The sequence below is a fragment of the Homo sapiens genome, chromosome 7 (genome assembly GCF_000001405.40).
Source record: "Homo sapiens chromosome 7, GRCh38.p14 Primary Assembly".
Lineage (NCBI taxonomy): Eukaryota > Metazoa > Chordata > Mammalia > Primates > Hominidae > Homo > Homo sapiens.
This window is the reverse complement of record NC_000007.14, coordinates 35059288-35082216: the sequence shown is the minus strand read 5'-3', so window position 1 is coordinate 35082216 and position 22929 is coordinate 35059288. Positions and strand designations below refer to the sequence as shown.

At 38.1% G+C, this 22929-nt stretch overlaps 1 long non-coding RNA gene and 1 pseudogene across 3 annotated transcripts in view; one reads left to right on the top strand and one right to left on the bottom strand.

Moving 5' to 3' along the window:
* DPY19L2P1 (DPY19L2 pseudogene 1) overlaps positions 1-2228 on the top strand; it is a 106187-nt pseudogene extending 103959 nt beyond the window's left edge. The window contains exon 22 of the transcript NR_002833.3: positions 477-2228. The product of NR_002833.3 is annotated as a DPY19L2 pseudogene 1 (transcript). The remainder of the gene's footprint in view (positions 1-476) is intronic.
* The window catches only part of LOC105375228 (uncharacterized), a 74297-nt gene that overhangs the window by 28866 nt on the left and 22502 nt on the right, over positions 1-22929 (bottom strand). The window contains exon 1 of one of the 2 annotated variants that reach the window (XR_001745164.3): positions 4366-11384. The exons of the other annotated variant lie outside the window; for it this stretch is intronic. This is a non-coding gene — a long non-coding RNA (uncharacterized LOC105375228). Of the gene's footprint in view, positions 1-4365; positions 11385-22929 lie in introns of those variants that run through there. 2 annotated transcript variants of the gene reach the window in all.

The following is a 22929-nucleotide window of genomic DNA, read 5'->3' as shown; positions in this document are numbered from 1 at the left end:
AAGAAAACAAATTGCCATAAGAGTCTCCTGTCCCTGCCTTGGATCATTTCATGCTAATCCAAGGCAGTTTATGCTAAAAAATGTTAAATTTATCAGGAATTCGATTAGGTTTTAATTTGTCTATTTTACTACAAATGGGCCTTATGTTTAGATGGTGATGGCACTTGGAAATTATATTTATGTTTGTTTCATCTTGAAAGTGTGCTTTTACATATATATTTATGAATGTATATTGAAGCTTTATTATTAGGATATGTCTTTCATTTGGTTAAATGAGATGTGAAAATGCAACATGCTTAATTTCATTCTATTTTTTAAATTTCTAAACATTGAAATTGTTTTTTGAAATGACGCTTTAAAATATTTAACTTATGAAATAAATTTGTCTCTGAAAATCTAGATGTTGTGTTATGTATCTATTTTCTCTAGACAGGAATACATTTCTAATATGGATATATATGTCTGTCTTTTTTCAGGCCTGGTTGCAGTATGCTTGAAATCTGTGATGTGGAAGACCCTTCCAATGCAGCTAACCCTCCCTTATGTAGCGTCCTGCTCAAAGATGCCAGGCCTTACTTCACCACAGTATTTCAGAATAGTGTGTACAGAGTATTGAGGGTTAACTGAGAAGGAAACTACCCATTACACTATGGCACAATGTGGTGTGTCAAAAACAATCACCCTTTGGCTTATTTACATTAATAAAAATCACAAGCTTTAATAACAGACACTTAAAAATAAGATAAAAATGGATTGAAAGTTTCTCTGATTACTAAAAGGTAAATTACTTTTCTGTTCATTGAATGTCAGCCTTATTAAGCTTGTCATATAAGTTATTAAATCATTCATGTCATACTGCATAAACAAATGTTCATTTCAGAATTTTAAAGAAAAATGTATATAAAAGAACAATGAATTTTAATAAATCAAGGGTACGTAAGTCCTTTTTCATCCAACTAGGTGAATTGCTTCAGATTTTCCCTAGTACCAGAGTGTACCTGCTCAAACTCTTTGAACCACTTAAGGGAGAAGAACGCAAGCTCTGAAATGACATCCTTAAAATGCTGATACTGATCACAACCTCTTTACCTCTGTGAGCAAATTGTAACAGTGTGTCTTTTAAGGTGTTTTTATTTCACCAGCCCTTAAGAAAGATCTCTAATACCTTTTAATACTTTTTTTTTATAATTTCAAGTTGAAGTGTTTTTAAAAACACCTTGTTTTGTAACGTTTTGAATCTCTTGAGATGTATTTACCCCACTAGATACATATTTGCCACTGGTTAGTTCTCCATCTAAGCTCAAGAGGTTATTCATCTCTCTTTAGATTCCAATGGTTTTTCTTTTAACATCCAGGTAAAATAGAAACTGCTATGGTATACAACCAAATTTTGGGGTTAAACATAATCAGAAAAGAAAATCCAGTTAAATTTATGAAGTGAGATTTTCAGATCCTAGATCTTGAATAAAGCAAACGGCTTTTCATCTTGATGGCCCCAAAGCTTGTTGGTCATGGTCTTTATTTCTGGCCACTATCATCTTCTTAAATAATATATTTTTAAGCCCTCATTTATTTTTGGTTTTGGATGAGGAAAGTCATGTTTTCTAAGTCCTCTCCCCTAATAAAACCTACCCAACAATAGTGCTTTGAAAAGTGGTAGTTATCTTGAAGATAGATACTCTTGCCAAATGCAAAGATAAACATTCTTTTTGTCTGCTTTATAAATATGAAATATGCCAGATCTATAGTATTTTAATGTGCATCTACTTTAAATGAGTCATCTTGGGGTTTTTATAATTCCCTTACATTCTTGCCCCTCTACACTTGAAATAACAAAATGCCTTAATTTTATAGATTAGTTCTCTTATAGCAGACAGGCAGCTATATGCAGCAAAACCAATAAAGTTATTTTTCAACTTTAATAGTTGTAAAATGTTATAACAGAATACATAACAGCTAAGAAAACATGCCACATTTTATTTTAGCATTTTCAAATAATTTGTTTTTGGTGTAAGCACAGGATAAAAAAGGAGAGCGTCAAAGAAAAGAGACTTAAAAAAATAACATTCATAAAAATTAACAAAGTATATTTTGGATGATGTTTTTACAGGAAATAGTTTAAGTTGGTAGAATTTTTAAAATGGTACTGTATTAGCTAATAAAATATTCAGTACATATATATGTTTGGATTTATGCATTAAAAAACTAATAAAATTATTTCCAACTTTTGTATTTGTAAATTATTTTGGTACAGGAGACAAAGCATCTAAGAAAGCATGCCGCACATTTTACTTATTTTAGCATTTTCAAATAATCTGTTTCAGTGATGTGTGGGACAAAAAAGGAAAAGAGACGTAACACCTAACATAAAATTAAAGTAACACATTTCAGATGATGTTACAGTAGCAAAGACTTGTAACTAACCCAAATACCCATCAATGATAGACTGGATAAAGAAAATGTGTCACATACACACCATGGAATACTATGCAGCCATAAAAAAGGATGAGTTCATGTCCTTTGCAGGGACGTGGATGAAGCTGGAAGCCATCGTTCTCAGCAAACTAACACAAGATCAGAAAACCAAACACCATATGTTCTCACTCATAAGTGGGAGTTGAACAATGAGAACACATGGACACAGAGAGGGGAACATCACACAAGGGCCTGTTGGTGGGGGGCAAGGGGAGGGAGAGCATTAGGACAAATACCTAATGCATGCAGGACTTAAACCCTAAATGACGGGTCGATAGGTGCAGCAAACCACCATGGCACATGTATACCTATGTAACAAACCTGCATGTTTTGCACATGTATCCCAGAACTTAAAGTAAAATAAATTTTAAAAAGTCAGTAGAACTCAACAAAAAATGGATGAGCTGTACTAATAAAATGTTCCATACACATACGATGTTTTCATATATATTTATGTTATTTTCATGTACTAGCTGTGTTAAGTAACTGTAAAGCCCTTGAAGATCCTGTTTTCTGTCTTTTCTCATCCTTCACAATGCATACATTTTGAAATTGAAATTGTTCTCATATAAAGGGAGAAATAGGTTGCTGGGCTTACTAGCCATGTTTACACTGGCAGTGCTCTTTCTTAGCCATTTAAAAATGATTCTGTATAGTCTTACACAGAAGGCAATATACTATGATGGAAATAGTGTGAGCTGTGCAATGAGATGTATCGAAGTTTGAATACTGCTTCCATTAGTTAGGTACCTACCATGTATTCAAAAGATATTCATTAAACACTTACTGTATGTCAGGCACCATGCTATGGTTGGTCATGTTACTTAACTCCATGAGCTTTCTTCACCTGTAAAGCAGAACTCACAATACCTACTTGGCGGAGTCATTATGAGGATTAGTGAAACAAAGTTTTGAAGTACCTGGCACATAAAGGCACTCAACAAACATTAGTTTCTTCTGCACTACCCACTACAACTCACTAATAACCATTTCAGTAATATCAAGTTGCAGAGTGAGGTTAGCTCATTTCAGAATTCCAAATAGTCTCCCCTTTATTTGATGTCAACAAATAGGAGTACTGGGCTGCAGCTTGTTCTTATACAAATTGTTCTACTGAATTCTTGCCTGTATAAATTTTATTTTTTATTCTTTTGAAACATGAGGAGATTTTCACTTAATTCAATGAAGCTTTTTCCATAGTTTCTAGGATCCTATGTTTGCACACTAATCTGCAACTATGGCTAGAAGTGAGGTGCACACAAGCTGCAACAATTCCTTCATCTGCTTCATCCGGTTGTCAGAAGCAAATGCACAGCTTCAACAGTATCTGTGTTCTACCACTTTGCTGCTGATAGACACCAAAAATCTGAGTACTTTAATAATAAAATTATGTTTATATTTTTATACATTACATGTTCCTATTATACACGAAGGACAAACTCACAGAAAAATTAGTTTTGAAAAAAACAGGACATTTTAAAGAAGGGGACAATTATATATATACATACACATAGCAGCAAAAATGGCAATAGCTCAAAAGTGGTTAAGATATACATACAGACACTGCAATGAACATCTTAGTGCATACTTTATGATTTTAAAGTTATTTCCATAGGAAAGATTTCATAAAGTTAAATTTCCTTAAAAAAACTGTGGACACCCTTAAAGCCTTCAATGCAGTTAGCCTCAAATTACCTTTGCAAAGGTATGTGTGCACCTTTTGGATTGTATGCACCACCAAAAGTTAGTGTGTATAACAATGCTCATTTTACAACACTCTCACTGGGATTAATTAGCCTTATTAAGAATATATTTTGCTAATTTGTGAGGCCCAAAATAGTATTTGTTATTATTCTCATTTGTATTTGTTCTATGTCCAGAAAAACTCACCATATTCTTTAGAAAGTGTATGTCTCTGAAGCTCTGTATGGGTTCATATTCTTTAATTCATCGAGTCTGTTCATAAAGGATGGGGATTGAGATAAGGGGAAAGAAAAATCTTTGAAAATTCTTAATAAGAGAAATATAAGGACATTTTCAAAAGGACAGGTATATATATATAACTTCATGCACAAAAGTCAAATTTAAATGGGTCAAGGACTTAAATGAAAGTAAAATGTTTAAAGTCTTAGAAGAAAATAGGGAAATACAGATTAAAACCACATGGTAATATTTACATTCAGATAAGAATTGGTGAGGACAGGGTGCCACAAGAACTCTCATGAAATTATAGTAGGAGTGTAAATTGGTACAGCCACCTTAGAAAATAAGTTGTTAATTCCTAATAAGTTTTAAAGTATGTAGTCTCTGCAATTTATAGTGTCACCCTAAAGAAATGTTGTTACAAATATACCAAGGAAACCAATTACAAGAATCTTCATGGAAGCATTATTTGTACCTGAGGAAAAAAAGCTGAAAACAACTCAAAGGCCCACCAACAGAATGGATAAAATGGATATTTCCATACAACGTAATATTGTAAAGGAATGAATGTGATCTACAGTGACAAGCATCAGTGGGAACCAATGTCAAATAGACTGTTAAAAAACTAAGTCATCAAAGGGGATGTGTGTGCATGTCAATATATATGCCATTTACATAGGGCCTAAAAGCAAACAAGACAATATTATAGAAGATATAGTGTGGCAAAACAGCGAAAGCATAGGCATAATTAATTCAAAACATAGGCTGGTGATCACTTCTAGGAAAGAATGCAATACAGGAGAAGCCCTGGGTGCTTCAATGTTAATATTCAATTCCTTGGTGTTAAGTATACAAGTGTTCATTTTATAATTCTTTAAAATGTGTGTGTATATATGTATATAATGCTTAATATATATTTATACTCTTCAAAGTAGGGCTTTGATTCCTCATCAGTGGTTCTTAAACCTCATGTTCTCTTTAGGTAACTCTGGGAGCCTAAATAAGCATCAAGAGTTGTTCTGATGACACGTCCAGCTATTCAAATAAATGTTCAAATTGTAGATTTTATTGTTTCCATTTGTGCAATGTATTTTTTTCCTTCCAACTTCTATTTTAGGTGCAGGAGTACATTTGCAGGTTTGTTATATAGGTAAATTGCATGTCATGGGGTTTGGTGTACAGATTATTTTGTCACCCAGGTAATAAGCATCGTACCTGATAGGTATTTTCTCAGTCCTCGCTCTCCTCCAACCCTCCACCCTCAAGTAGGCCCTGGTGCCTATTATTCCCTTCTTTTTGTCCATGTGGGCTCAGTGTTTAGCTCCTACTTATAGGGAGCACATACAGTATTTGGTTTTCTGTTCTGTGTTAGTTCACTTAGGATACTGGCCTCCAGCTCCATCCATGTTGCTGCAGAGGATGTGATCTCATTTTTTTATATGGCTGTACAGTATTCCATGGTATATATGTACCACATTTTCTTTATCCATTCTGCCATTGATGAGCATTTAGGTTGATTCCATGTCTTTGCTATTGTGAATAATGCTGCAATGAACATACATGTATATGTGTTTTTATGGTAGAACAATTTATATTCCTTTGGGTATATATCCAGTAATGGGATTGCTGGGTTGAATGATAGCTCTATTTTGAATTCTTTGAAAAATCTCCAAACTGCTTTCCACAGTGGCCAAACTGGTTTACATTTCCACCAGCAGTGTATAAGTGTTCTCTTCTCCACAACTTCACCAGCATCTTTTTTTTTTTTTTTTTTTTTTTTTACTTTTTCATCATAGCTATTCTGACTGGTGTGAGATGGTATCTTACTGTGGTCTTGATTTGCATTTCTCTAATGATTAGTGATGGTGAACATTTTTTCATATGCTTGTTGCCTACATGCACGTCTTCTTTTGAGAAGTGTCTGTTCACACTTTTTGCCCATTTTTAATGAGGTTGTTTGTTTTTGCTTGTTGATTTAAGTTCCTTATAGGTGCTGGATATTAGACCTTTGTCAGATGCATAGCTTGCAGGTGTTTTCCTCCATTCTGTAGGTTGTATGTTTACTCTGTTGATAGTTTCTTTTACTGTGCAGAAGCTCTTTAGTTTTATTAGATCCCATTTGTCAATTTTCGTTTTTGCCGCAATTGCTCTTGGCATCTTCATCATGAAGTCTTTGCCAAGGCATATGTCCATGGCCTTTCTTGTTTTCTTCTAGGGTTTTGATAGTTTTAAGTTTTACATTCAAATCTTTCATCCATCTTGAGTTGATTTTTGTATATGGTGTAAGGAAAGAGTGGTACGGTGTCTTAAAAATTACCAGATTGTGTTTCATAGGATTTTGAAAAAAAGATGTCATTCATAGAAATTGCATTAAAATTCACATCTCTCAGGATGTGTTTCTTCATCTGTACATAGGTGATAATACCTACCTCATAGAATTACGAGGATCAAGCCAAGTGTTCCATGTCAATGTGCATTATTAAGGGCTACACATGTGATCCACTTTAATACCACCAGACAATAGGCCAACTTTGAATTGGATGTTAATAAAAAAGCTATGATGTATTCATAATCCAAAAGAGCAAATAAGATTATTTATATTTGACTTAGAATAATTTTTTGAGGAGCTTTTGCAGCTACTGACTTCTTTAGTATGCTTGCCTGAGATTAAAATAGATATTGACTTCCTTATTGTGCTTTTCTGAGATTAAAATTCTTTCATATCCTTTGAGCCCATATAGATAATGGCTTTTACTTTTAAAATTTTCTTCCAAGAGATACATATAACTCATATGTAAATATTGAGATTATTCAGATGAAGCTGCAAAGCCAGTTCACAGACTATACTGGATTGAATCATATCCAAGAACCTATGAATTTTATTTAAAAAGCACCTCAGCTATTGAAAAGAGCAAGACTGTTTACACAGCTTCATACAGACCTAAGAAATACAATGGAGATCATACATGAGAGTTATTTCTTTAACAAGGATGGTGTGGCAGCCACAAAAGTACACCACCTTTAGGGTACTCCTCTGAGAACCTGCTGTCCAGCTGCAGGGAGCAGAGGTAACTGACAGCCTTCAACTGTAGCGCCATCAGCATGTGCATGGCATTCACTCTGGGTCACATTCTTCCTGGGTAACCCCCAGCCAATGACTGAGCAAGGAAGATATACTAGTCTGTTCTCACATTGCTATAAGGAAATACCCAAAACTGGGTAATTTATAAAGGTAAGAGGTTTAATTGACTCACAGTTCAGCATGGCTGGGGAGGCCTGAGGAAACTTACAATCATGGCAGAAGGTGAAGGGGAAGCAAGCCACCTTCTTCACAAGGTGGCAGGAGGGAGAAATGAGCGCAGGAGAAACTACCAAACACTTACAAAATCATCAGCTCTCGTGAGAACTCACTACCACGAGAACAGCATGGGAGAAAACACCCCCATGATTCAATTACATCCACCTGGCCTCTCCCTTGACATGTGGGTATTATGGGGATTACAATTCAAGATGAGATTTTGGGTGGGGACAGAGCCAAACCAGATGAGAAGGGTACTGTAGGGCCTGGCTGTTTCAGCCCAATGCTGAACTGCTTCATCAGGCAATCTTTGCTCTGAAGCTGCTCACTGAGCAAGCCAAGCCCTGGTCAGCCGTCCTTTGCAGCTGGAGGCTCTCCCGCTTTCTTCCTCTTTCATAGATGTCAACGGGCCTCACAGCTGAAGGCTTTACCCACCCAGTCCTGCTCCCCATCCTCTAACAGCTATGACACCTTCCTAGTTTCACCCCTTCACCCGTTCCAGTTTTACATAAGTTTTCCTCACTACACAGAGATGGTGTGGTGCCACCAAGATCATTATTCATTTTACAACCTTACTGGGATCCCCTGATGATATCCCTCTGAGACTGCAGCACAGTAGACCCTGGCAGAAGACAGGACCCTGTACCTATAAGATGCCTTTTCTATCTCACAGATCCAAACCATTGTCAGATTTTAGAGTTCCTAGTATGGAGAAAAGTCCCTTGGGAACAGTAGAGCCTGGATTGAACTCTTTTAAAATAAGTAGGAGGTAGGCGCTTGTGGTCCCAGCTACTCGGGAAGCTGAGGCAGGAGGATCGCTGGAGCCCAGGATGCAGAGAAACACGATTGCGCCACTGCACTGCAGCGTGGGCAACAGAGTGAGACTGTCTCAAGAGAAAAAAAAAAAGTGAGTGTGCAAAATGTTCATTTTATGTATACTTAGTGCCATCTGCTGGCTATGAAATATGATAGCATTTGTCATGAAATTACAAAAAGTGTTAAGGTGCTAGTTTGCACGTTTTCATGGAAAATGGGAGAAAGCAAGAGAACTCAAGGACATGCACTACATTTTAGTTTTGTTTGAGTTGTGATGATCTCAGTGGCTCTTCTCTCCCTCACCCACCCACCTCTCCTATTTGTTCAATCTCTCTCCCTCCTCTGGTGCCTTAAAAGGGTCTCCATGCTTTGCATCCCTCCTCCACTCCACGATCAGGGACCCGCCCGGCATCACACGTTCTGCTTCAGCAACAATGAATTGCTGGAAATTTCCAGCAACTCTTTTTCCTGCCAGTGCTCACACTGTACCCTTGCCTGTTAAGGTCTTACATGTCTTCCTCCCACACCCCTGCCTCTCACCTGCTCAGATGTCCCCTCCTGCCAGCAGCCAGTCCTGACCATCCCCTCTGTGCTCTGCTAATGCCACTCCACCTGTCACATAGTTCGATCATTTAAAAATGATCTGTTTTCCTTTGAAGTCTTTCATTGAACTCTGAATTACTTAATAAAAGGGTTTGTATATTATTTATTCCTGTTTTCCACCCGACACCGTACCTGGAACATAGCAGATGCTCAGCAAACATTGCACAAAAGAATAATGTGGAAAATAAATGGTTAAAACATAGAAAAATTTTAAAGATAGGGTATTTGGGTCACTTTTACTGTTTTCTGTCCCTACAATATGGCTGAATCATCCCCCATATGGCTCAACATTTTCTTAGTTCTTTTAAAAGTACCCAACACTATATTGAGTGCTCTGGGGATCAAAATAATAGTATATATATTAAGGCTGGGTTTGAATCCCTGCTCTACCATTTACTAGCTGGGCAATTTATATAACACTTTAAAATTTCATCATCTGTAAAGTGGAAATATTAAAGGTATCTTCTTCAAAAGTGACATTTGGAAAAAAAAATAAAGTAATACATGTAAAGCATATGAGATTCAGTAAGCACTGGGTTAGTGGTGAGTTGTTTTTGTTGTTATTGCTAAGACCCAGGAACCCATTGTTTGAAGATCAGCATAGAGCACTTACTGGTTGGGTGGGATTTCTGTTCTCTACTCAATGGTTTGTTTATTCTTTAGAGACTGTCCCCTCTAGAGTCTATTATTAATATTTTCTTATGCCAATTTATGGGAGTTTTACTATTGTGCTGTTTCTCTAATAATAGCTAATTTATATCTTTAATTTTTAAAAGCCATTATGCTGGAAACAGAACATTCATACAAACAATACATGAATGAATGTAGGTTATACTGCAAAATAGCTGGTTACTATAATGTAGTGGTATTCCATGGCTTTAAGTTTAAAAATAACTTCACATTTACTAGAGTGGACTTACCCTCCAGGCATAAAATTTTAAAACCCAACAACTCCAGGCCTCCAGAGTCTTTACTTCCCACTAACTTCTCACCAGTGAAGGCGAAGCTAATGAAAAAGGATAGATGACTGCTTCTCAATTGGAAATGGATCCAAATACCATCAAGGGAATTGGTGTTGGGTATACAGATTTTACCTACTGTCACAGGCTGGCTGGGTGGAGGATGGGGAAGGTGGTGGTATCGGTCTACTTTTAGAGTTTTAAATGTTTCTCTGAATTCCTGTAGCAGATAATTTTGAGAAAATTTTGCCTAGAGAAAGAGTCTGAAACCAAAAAGCTAATCAGAAGCAAAGGTTTGCAGCTTGGATCTTTAACATTAATAAGTCTATTGCTTTTTCCTACCTCCCACTCCTGCTACCTGAAGAAGGTGAGTAGGAGGGGAGGGATTTTGAAAGAAGAGGGATGTGGAGGGAAAAGGACATAAGTGGTGGTTGGGTAGATGACAGATAGTGGTTGTCTGCCTGCCACCCATCTAGGTATGTCTCCACGGGTGGCCTCTGCTTTTGCCCACAGGGGACTCATTCACGCACAAAGGAAGATGACAGACAATTGGCCAGAACATAGAGCACTGAAATGAAACACAAAGGCCACTCTTGGGCCTCTGTGTTTCATCACAATTATGTTAGTTTGCTAGGGTGCCATCATCAAGTACCACAGACAGGTGTCGGAGATCAAGGTATCTATCAGGAGGGTTAGTATCTTCTGGGATCTTTCCTCTTGATTTGCAGATAAGTGTTTTCTCCCTGTGTCTTCACATGATCTTTCCTCTATGCCTGTTGTGTCCTAATCTCCTTTTCATATAAATTCACAGTTGAGCACATAACTCGTATTTAATACCATATGTTGGAATAAAAAGCCTTATAGCAATGCATAGGATAGAAATTCTTTTCTTTAAAACTTAGTTTGAGTATTTTGCAGTAATGAAAAATGGTCCTGACATACAGAATGCCATCTAGCTTACACCTGCATGGGGCATGCATGGCATGAGGCATGCAGAAGAAAAAGATGAGCAATCCTTACCTGAAAAGAGACCACCCTCTCCTTTAATGGGAGGGGAAATTAAAGAATAATTTAATGGGAGGGGAAATTAAAGAATAATGCCCATAGTTTGCTGCAAACACTATTGCTCAATTTAATACTGTAATGGAATCTACAATGTGTGTACAATCATTGTTAACTATACCTTTATTATCTTTATAATGTTGAGGTAAAGAGCTTTCTGCTATTATGCATTAATAACTCCATCCCTAATGCCATCATGGTTCTAGTGTCCAGGGAAGGAGTCTGTATTAGTCTGCTTTCACACTGATATAAAGAATGCCAACAGAGACTGGGTAATTTATAAAGAAAGGAGGTTTAATTGACTCACAGTTCTGCATGGCTGGGGGGCCCTCAGGAAATTCACAATCATGGTGGAAGACAAGGCACATCTTACACAGCAGCAGGTGAGACAGAGAGAGAGAGAGAGAGAGAGAGAGAGAACGAACCAGGAAGTGCCACACTTTAAAACCATCAGCTCTCATGAGAACTCACTCACTATCATGAGAACAGCATGGGGGAAACCACCTCCATGATCCAATCACTTCCCACCAGGTTCCTCCCTTGACATCTGAGGATTACAATTTGAAATGAGATTTTGGTGGGGACACAGAGACAAACCATATTATTTCACCCCTGGCCCCTCCAAAATTTCATGTCCCTTTCAAGTTTCAAAACCAACCATTCCCTCCCAAGAGTCTTAAAGTCTTAACTCATTCCAGTATTAACCTGAAAGTCCAAGTCCAGAGTCTCATCTAAGACAAGGCAAGTTCCTTCTACCTATGAGTCTGTAAAATCAAAAGCAAGTTAGTTACTTCCAAGATACAATAGGGGGCCAGGTGCAGTGGCTCACACCTGTGATCCCAGCACTTTGGGAGGCCGAGGCAGGTGGATCACCTGAGGTCAGGAGTTCAAGACCAGCCTACCCAACATGGTGAAACCCCATCTCTACTAAAGATACAAAAATTAGCTGGGTGTGGTGGCCGGCGCTTATAGTCCCAGCTACTTAGGAGGCTGAGGCAGGAGAACTGCTTGAATGTGGGAGTTAGAGGTTGCAGTGAACCGAGATCACACCAGTGCACTCCAGCCTGGGTGACAGAGGGAGACTCCATCTCAAAAAGAAAAAAAAAGATACAGTAGCGGTACAGCCATTGGGTAAGTATTCCCATCCAAATGGGAGAAATTGGCCAAAATAAAGGGCCCACAGGCCACATGAAAATCTAAAACCCAGCCGGGCAGTCATTAAATCTTAAAGCTCCAAAATGATCTCCTTTGACTCCATGTCTCACCCAGGGCACGCTAATGCAAGGGGTGGGTTCCCATGGCCTTGGGCAGCTCCACCCCTGTGGCTTAGCAGGGTACAGCCCCTCCAGCTGCTTTCATGGGATGGCATTGAATGCCTGTGGCTTTTTCAGGTGCAAGGTGCAAGCTGTTGGTGGATCTACCTTTCTGGGGTCTGGAGGATAGTAGCCCTTTTCTCACAGCTCCACAAGGCAGTACCTCAGTGGAGACTCTGTATGGGCGCTCCAACCCCACATTTCCCTTCTGCACTGCCTAACAGAGGTTCTCTATAAGGGCTCCACCCCTCTAGCAGACTTCTGCCTGCTTTTCCACACATCCTCTGAAATCCAGATGGAGGTTCTGAAAGCTCAACTCTTGTCTTCTGAATACTCACAGGCCCAACATCATGTGGAAGCTGCCAAGGTTTTGGGGCTTGCATTCTCTGAAGCAATGCCCTGAGCTGTACCTTGGCCCCTCTTAGCCACAGCTGGAGCTGGAGTGGCTGGGATGCAGGACGCCATGTCCCAAGGCTGCACAGAGCAGCAGGGCCCAGGGCCCTGAGGACATTTTCCCTCTTAGGCTTTTGGGCCTGTGATGGGATGGGCTACTTTGAAGATCTCTGAAATGCCCTGGAGACATTTATCCCATTGTCTTGGTGATTAACATTTGGCTCCTTGTTACTTATGCAAATTTCTGCAGCTGGCTTGAATTTCTTCCCAGAAAAATTTCTACCACATAGTCAGGCTGTACATTTTCCAAATCTTTATGCTCTGCTTCCCTTTTAAATGTAAGTTCCAATTTCAAACCATCTCTTTGTGAGCGCATGTAACTGAACGCTTTCAGAATCAACCAGATTACCTCTTGAATGCTTTGCTGCTTAGAAATTTCTTCTGCCAGACACCCTAAATCATCTCTCTTAAGTTCAAAGTTCCATAGATCTCCGGAGCAGGTGCAAAATGCTGCCAGGCTCTTTGCTAAAGCATAGTAAGAGTGACCTTTACTCCAGCTCCCAATAGGTTCCTCATTTCCATCTGAGACCATCTCAGCCCGGACTTCATTGTCTATATCATATATCACTATTAGCATTTTGGTCAAAACAATTCAACAAGTCTGTAGGAAGTTCCAAACTTTCATTCATCCTCTTGTCTTCATCTGAGCCTTCCAAACTGTTCCAACTTCTGCCTGTTATCCAGTTCCAAAGTTGCTTCCACGTTCTCAAGTTATCTTTATAGCAGTACCACACTACCTTGGTACCAATTCTCTGTTTTAGTCCGTTTTCACACTGCTATGAAGAATACCACCAGAGACTGAGTATTTATAAAGAAAGGAGGTTTAATTGACTCATAGTTCTGCATGGCTGGGGAGGCCTCAGGAAACTTACAATCATGGTAGAAGGTGAAGGGGAAGCAAGGCACATCTTACCTGCGGCAGGCAACAGAGAGAGAGAGAGAGACTGCAAGAGAGAGAGAGAGACAGAAAGCGAGTGAGCGAGAGCAAGCGTCAGGAAGTACCACACTTTAAAACCATCAGCTCTTGTGACAACTATCATGAGAATAGGATGGGGGAAACCACCCCCAAGATCCAATCACCTCCCACCAGGTTCTTCCCTTGGCACCTGAGGATTACAATTCAAGATGAGATTTCAGTGGGGACACAAAGTCAAACCATATCAGAGTCTTCCTCTTAAAATTCATGGAAAGGTCATCTCTATCTAATCTCTCTCTGATGCTTCTTTTGGCAGTATCACTAAAGACATTTCCATCCCAGAGAGTAGATGTGGAGGATGTCAGATTCAAAAAGAAAAAATTATTTGTCATTGGTTACAACCACAAAACCATTTACTATAGTTTTAATATTGTGAATATCTGTTCTGATCCCAAGAGATCATCAGTCAAGTAGAGAAAAATAGAACAAACTATTTCTAGAGTGTCTAAAGCATTCATTCTATCATTTTAGTAGATGATATACATGAACATCAACATCCAGTCATTTCCTGAATAAGACAAGACATTATAATTTACCTTAGAGTGAAGCTGTTCTCATAGAATTTACATTGTGCAATTTTGCTTTTTCACATGAATAAATTAGGGGCTCAGGAAGTAGAAGGACAAATAAGGCAGAGAACAAGCAGGAAAAATAATTGAGGTAGGACCAGTAATCCATGGAGGATCCCCAAGTTCAGGTGAAAGCATAGAATATATCTGAATGTGAGAGTTGAGCCAAAGATAGACTCATTTAGCCATGGACTCACTGATGTGTGATCAAAGAAAAATAAGTCTGAAGAGCACTGGAAACCCAGGCAACAGTCATGGAGGAAATGGATAGTCAAACACTAGTAAAAATAATAATAATAGCCATCATTTACAGGCTTACTCTTTCCTAGACTCTTTATATATTATATAATTTAATCTTCAGGACATCTTAGTAAAACTGTTTTGCAGATGAGAAAATTGGGTCTCAGAGATGTCAAGTGCCTTTCTTAAGGCCCTCCAACTAGACAGGGGCAAAGCTTGCCATTAGATTTGGGCCTGTCTAATCCATTAATACAATCAAACAAAACCACTGTGTCCTGGATGGAAGTCATTAATTTAAAGGGAAGTAGAACTAGACACCTAGAAACTAAGAGATCCAGGAGTTCTCATTGTATATTTGGGACTAGGTGGTAGAGGACATGAAGAACAAGGAATAGCTGGCTGGGAATGAAAGCACTGACCCTCCTGCAAGAGAAAAGTAAGACAGAAACCGTGTAGTTGAAGAACCCAGATTCCAAAGGTTATCTCAAGCATTGTTTCAAAAATTGTTGACCAAGCAAATTACTCAGCTCTTCTCATCCAGAACCTTCTCGGGCTTGGTGTAGACCTGGAATCCAGGGCAGGACTGAACCTCAGGGATGGGGACCAGTGTCCACCAGTGCACACAGTGGAGAGGGGAAGGGAAGAAAGCCAAAAGGCCATTAATTAAACCCAGGGACTCCTGGCTCCCAGCAGGATCCTATTCTTTCTCTTCCCACAGTAAGAAGCTAGTGGGGAGATACAGACGCCAGGTGAATCCCTCAGCTGACTAGTCAGCTGTAGGATAACTGGGAAAGTGAGAGGATCCTGCATCCTCTTGAGGAAGTGCAGCTTTCTGCTGTCCAGGCTCTGGAGTCCCTGCTAGATTTGCTCACACACAGGACTTGCACTGGGCAGAAGTCTGTGGCACATGCCTTCAAAGCATTCCATTAGCTGGAATTTAAAATTCTCTGACGGAAATCAGAATCCTGTCTGAAGGCAATTTTGCAACAGTGTGAGATGTGCATGAGGCTCCTGAGGGCCATGGAGCTGTTCCAGGCAATTCGATGAATGGAGCGTTCAGCCGGACAGGGCAGGCACTCAATTTAAAACATGCAGGTGAATGACTGATGGGACCTCTTGCTCAAACATCTCGAATGCATTTTGCCAGGCTCTCCAAGTGTGTAAAAGTCTTGGAAGATAACATGAAATTGCCTTGACTGCACTCATAAAATGGCTGGATGTAAATGCCCTTTAAAAATAAAAAAAATAAAAAAACTAAAGAGCATTTTTAAGGCTTTTGCTTCACAATAGGATGAAAATGATTTGAGCTGGGAGCACGATGATGTCAGTGAAGTGTGGCTCAGCCACGCTTTTGGTAGTTAATGCAGTCAGAGACACAGAGAAAGTCAGAAAACCTATTCTAAAATGATGTCTTAATGCAAAAAGAAAAAGCAGTGATGTGTAAATAGATACTGAGTTGTGTATTCTATTACGCAGTTGAAGGAAATTGAGATCAGAACTGCCATTCTAAGAAAGAGTTGACACAGATTCTCCATTTCAGTTTCTTTGAGGTGCTTAATAATCTGAGTTTGAATACAAAGACACCTGACTTTCCCATGCCTTGATTTACCTATCTCTGAAGCAGAGAAGACACAGTGTGGCCACTCCATGATACTCCTGTGTGTAGTGTTTACCTTTCTCAGGCATGAGATGGCTGCAATTACAAGATGGTTCTCAGAGATGTGTTGGGTATTTTTATCATACTTGTTTAAGACAAGAAAAATGTTATCCCTCATTCCAAGAGTATGAAATTCAATTTTAAAGCAAGGTCACAAATTTTAAAAAAATTATTATGTTCCTTCTATGTGCCAGAATTTGTGCTAGGAGCTCAGAAGGCAGAGAACATTCTCTGTCCTTAAGGAACCTCAAGGAGGAGACAGACATATAAACCAGCAATTACACTAAGTATTGTAGATATAGGTGGCAGTAGTAGTACATGTTTCCAGAGTGTGAACATAAAAATGGGATACCGGATCAACATGATTTGTGTGAGGTTGAAGCTACCAATATGCAAATGAGTCCCAAGTAGATGCCAGAAAACGCTTACCTAACAAAGCTGTTTCCACCTCTCCCAGTGAAAACAGAAGTCATCCCACAATGTCTCTAAAATTCCCACTATCCAGCATTCTTAAAAGCCCTCCTAAAGAGGGTAGGATAGGAGATGCGAGTTGTACATGGAATTCAATAATTATTAGATGTTAAATATTACTGAGACCGCCATTGCCGGCCAAGATAAAGTCAGCCCTCTATAGCCTGTCTCTCTCACAGATTACAGCTAAAAATGAATACAGAAAGAAACTATTTAAGGACTCTGAAAAGTAAACACCAGAAGATAGTTTGAAAGTCAAAATTTGAAGAAAAACCAGTATTAGGATGAGAATCCTGAGTTATTTTTGCTTTTGTATCTCACTGCTTTGAAATGAAAATGGCCCTAATTATGGAACTGAGCAGTAGGAGCAGACATCAAAACTCAGAGAAATCTCCTTTGTTGAACCAAACAGATACAGAGACCTCTGTAAGCTGAAAAGTGTAGAATATATTCCAAGGCTTTTTTTCTTTCTGTTTTTCCCCTCTTTTTTCCTCCTATCTCTAAGCGAGGAGTGGCCACAGTCTAGAGCTTCTCTGCAGCAGTTGTGGCATGAACACCTGAAACACTGAGAAAGCAAACAAACAAACCACTGTCTCTCTTGTCAGAGGATCTTCAAAAGAGTTCCCTAACATCCCAAGTGGATGGGGGAAAATTTTTGTTTTTGTTCTCTTTGTCTCTCCAGTTGTGTGGAACTGCATAACAGGGTGGTCATTATGGAGAATCAATATTCTCTAGAGGATTTTAACAGGACTCAGAGTCTCACAACATAATATCAGATTGTCTAAAATACAATCCGAAACTACTTAACATACAAAGAACCAGGAAAATGTGACCAGTAGTCAAGGGAAAAACCACTAACAGGTGCCAACCCACTCCAAAACAGCAAAACACATTCTTTTCAAGTACCTATAGAGGACACATTCTGAACCATTAAATAAACCTTAACAATTTTAAAATAATTGAAATCATACCAAATATGTTGACAATAATATGTATGACCATAAATGGTTAAAGAAAAAAATAAAAAATCAAGGATATCTAGAAAATACCTAAACATTTGGAATTTAAACAACAAAGTTCTAAATAACGCATTGGTCAAGTAAGTTTCAAGGGAAATAATAAAATATTTTAAAATAATTAATAATAAAAATACAATTTATAAAAAATTGTGGAAGTGCTTAGAGAGAAGAAAATTATAGCACTAAATGCTCATATTAGAAAAGGAAGTCTCAAATCAATAACTTAAGCTTCCACAGTGAGACATTAGAAAAAAAGAACAAACAGCTGAGCACGGTGGTTCACCCCTGTAATCCCAGAACTTTGGGAGGCCGAGGCGGGTGGATCACCTGAAGTCAGGAGTTTGAGACCAGCCAGGCCAACATGGTGAAACACCTTCTCTACTAAAAATACAAAAAATTAGCTGGGTGTGATGGCAGGCGCCTGTAATCCCAGCTACTGGGGAGGCTGAGGCAGAAGAATCTATTGAACCTGGGAGGCGGAGATTGCAGTTGAGCCAAGATTGTGCTATTGCACTCCAGCCTAGATGCTAAGAATGAAACTCCATAAAACAAACAAACAACAAAAAAAAGAAAAAAGAACAAACTAAACCCAAAGCAAGCAGAGAAAATGAATTAACAAAAATAAAAACAAAAGTCAGTGAAAATGAAAGCAGAAAAACAATAGACAAAGCCAATGAAAATATCAATAAAATGCATAAATCTCTAGTTATACTAAGCAAGAAGGAGAGAGAGAGAGAAGACAAAAGCTATCAATATCAGGAATGGAAGAGTGGATATCACTACAGAAAAACAAATGACTGTATTACCACAAATTTGTGTTTAAATCAGGGTTAAATCAGGAATTAAATGGACTAATTCCTTGAAACATACAAACTACCAAAGCTTGGTGAAGAAATTAGATAACTTGATTTGTCTCATATCTATTAGAGAAATTGAATTTGTAGTTAAAATACTTCAAAAAAGAAAACTCGACGTCCAGATGGTTTTACTGAGTAATTCTCCCAAACATTTAAGGAAGAAGTAACAAATCTATATAATCTTTTCTCAAAAATAGAAAAAGAAGGAAATACTTCACAACCCATTTTATTAGGCTAGAATTAGACCAGCATTAAAACCAGACCAATATCCCTTATGAACATAGGTGAAGTAATTCTGAACAAAATTTTAGTGAATCTATTCCAGCAATATTAACAAAGGATAATGTACCATGACTAAGCAGGATTTATCTTGGGAATGTAAGGCTGGTTCAACATTTGAAAGTCAATCAATATAATTAACTATATTAACAGGTTAAGAAGGAAAACCACGATTGCTTCAGTAGATACAGAAAACACATTTGAAATTTTCAATATCTATTCATGATACAAATTCTCAGCAAACTAATAATGGAAGGAAATTTTTTTTAAACTGATAAAGGGCATGTAGAAAAAACTGTATAGTTGATTTCACACTTAATGGAAAAAGACTGCATTCCCCTAAAATAGGAAACAAGAGAAAGACTTTTGCTCTTACCACTTTTTTACAACATTGTTCTGGAAGGCCTAGCCAGTGCAATAAGGCCAGAAAAAGAAATAAAAGGCATTATGTAGAAAATTCCAAGGAATCTCTAAGAAAGCTCTAGAGCTCATAATCAAATTGACTAAAAAGATCAATATATAAAAATTAATTTTGGCCAGGCATGGTGGCTCACACCTATAATCCCATCACTTTGGGAGGCTGAGGCAGGCAGATCACTTGAGGTCAGGAGTTCGAGACCAGCCAGGCTAACATTGTGAAACCCCATCTCTACTAAAAATAGAAAAACTTAGCCAGGCGTGCTGGCACACACCTGTAATCCCAGATACTCGGGAGGCTGAGGCACGATAATCACTTGAACCCAGGAGGCAGAGGTTGCAGTGAGCCAAGATCATGCCACTGCACTCCAGGCTAGGCAACAGAGCAAGACTCCATCTCAAAAAAAAACAAAAAAAACAAAAAAAAACAAAAAAAAAACAAATGTATTTCTATATACTACCAATAAATAATTTTATTGAACTTTTACATTATGCCATTTATAATAGTGCCATAAAATAAAATATTGAGAGTAAATGCAATATCCGCAGGATCTATATGTTATAAACCCTGATTTAAAAAAAAAAATCCCAAAGAAAGGCCAAATAAATGGGAAGATATACTGTGTTTATGGGATATTCATAAGATGTCAATTCTCCCCAAATTTATCTATAGGTTCAATGCAATCATAATCAAAATCTCCACAAAATTATTTATATATATTGGCAAGCTGATTCTAAAGTATATAGGGTAAAGCAAAAGAATGAGAATAGCAAAACAAATTTGAAAAAGAGCAAAGTTGGAAAACTCATACCACTTTATTTCAAGTTAGTGTAATCAAGCGTGATATTGGCAAAAGGATAAACACCTAAGTCAATCAAATAAAATAAAGTCCAGAAATAGACCTATATAAATATGGTCAACTGAATTTCTAAAAACATACAAAGGTAATTCAGTGGAGAAAGGATAGTCTTTTTAACAAAATTAATGCAAAATGAATCATAGAGCTAAGTATAAAATGTAAAACTATAAACTTTTAAAGGAAAATATAGGAGAAAATTATTACATCCCTAAATTAGGCAAAAATTCTTATATTAATAACACCAAAACAATACTTTCAAGGAAAAAAATTGGTAAATTAGAATTCATTAAAAATTAAGAATTTGCTTTGCAAATGACATTGTCAAAATAATGCAAAGAAAAGCCACAGACCAGGAAAAAACCATCTGTGAATTACATATATGACAAAAGACTTGTATCCAGAATATAAAAAGAACTCTAAAATGCAACAATAAAAACACAAGGAAATTTTTTAAAGAATCAACATTTTGAACAGACACTTCAACTAAAATACATATGTATGGCAAGTAAGCGCATGGAAAGACAGTCAACATCAATAGTCATCAGGGAAATACAAACTGAAACCACTACCTGCCAATTAGGAGGCTAAAGTTTAAACACAATATGACAGTACAATGTATTAGTGAGGATTCAGGCCACTGGAACATTTGAACAACAGTTTGGTAGTTTCTTATAAGAAACTTAAATACACACTTACGATCTGATCCAGCAATCTCATTTTAAGGTACTTATCCAAAAAAATGAAAACTTATGTTCATATAAAACCATTATGCAAATGTAATATAGCAGCTTTATCCATAATCACCCAAAGCTGGAAACAACTTAAATGTCCTTTAGTGAATGGATACACAATGAATAAGCAAATTCAACCATAAAAAGGAACAAACTATTGATACATGCAACATGGAAGATTCTCAAATTCATTATGCTAAATTTAAGAAGCTAGGCTCAAAAAGCTACATATGGTAATCCATTTACACGCTACCCTGGAAAAGGCAAAACTACAGGAAAGAAGAACAAATCAGTGGTTGCCAAGAGTTTGGAGTGAGAGAAGTTGCCCCAAATGGGGGACAGTTAGAAGGAACACTTTGGGGTCATAAAACTTGATTGGGGCCCAGGCGTGGTGGCTCACACCTGTAATCCCAGCACTGTGGGAGGCTGAGGCAGGCAGATCACGAGGTCAGGAGATCAAGACCATCCTGGCTAACACAGTGAAACCCCGTCTCTACTAAAAATACAAAAAAATTAGCCAGGCATGGTGGCAGGCACCTGTAGTCCCAGCTACTTGGGAGGCTGAGGCAGGAGAATGGCATGAACCCGGGAGGCGGAGCCTGCAGTGAGCCGAGATTGTGCCACTGCACTCCAGCCTCGGCGACAGAGCGAGACTCCATCTCCAAAAAAAAAAAAACAAAACTTGATTGGGATCCAAAATCATACAACTATACACTAAAATCAGTGAATATTACCTTATGTAAATTAAAAATTAGGAAATCAAAAGAAAAGCATACATATAAAAAAGTTTTTTCTAAGCATTTCTCATTTGTAGAGTGTCTTAAGTATGTTGTATGTTGTCTCATTTCACCCCCATAACAAATCTATGAAAGAGGTACTTTTATCCCCATGTTAACGTGAATAAACCCAGGTTTGGAAAAGTCGAGAAACATACTTACTGTCATATAGTTAACAAGTGAGCAAGCAGGGATGTGAAGCCAGATTCCTCTGACTCCAAGGTCTGAGTTCTTCCTCCTGCACAGTGGTCAATTGGCTAGATCCACATAAACAGCATGCACAAACTCACCACTCACACATACATACCCACAGACACACACCACACAGATGGGATACATCTCACAATCACATATATGGAATGAGTGATATGCAAATATAAAATTGCATTATTTTTATATTATTCTTATTTTATATAAATCCTACCACGAGGCATAGTCTGTCTCATTCATTCATTCATTTATCCATCCCTTCATTTATTCCCTCATTTCCTCAGGAAATAGCTTCCTTTGTGGCAGGTGCTATTCAAGACTCTGGAGATACAACAGTAAACAAAACAGAATAAACTCAAAAACTCTAAAATGCAACAATAAAAACCAAGGAAATTTCAAAAAGGATCAAAGTTTTGAACAGACCTTTCAACTGAAATACATATGTAGTTAATACACACAAAAAAACAAGTAAATAACAAGTGGGAGATCTGGTAGTGACAAGTGCTACACTAAAGCAAAGTAAGAAGAGTGAGTAAGAGGAGGAACTGTTTTAGAGACAGTGACCAGGGAGGCCTCTCTGCGAAGGGGAATTGAAGCAGAGAATGGATGGAAGTGAGGCAGGGAGTATTGGGAAGGTCTGGCGGAAGGTTTTTCCAGGGCACAGGAATAACCAGGAGAAGCCCCTGAGGCAGGAGTCGCTTGGCACGTTTGAGGTACAGCCAGTGGGCTGCTCGGCTTGGGTGAGCTTGCAGGGCTGAGAGTGGGAGGAAGCCAGGGAAGCTGTAGGACTTTCCTACTTACGGTGCGTACTTGTAGCTGTTCTTCAATTCTCCAGTATAAGTGTATCTCCCTGGTTAATTGCAAATTATTTACAGGACCATGCTTTCTATTTTTTAAATGAATCTCAGTCTGTAACTGGCACTTCACTGGGCATGGAGCTAATGCCAAATAAAAACGTGATGGTT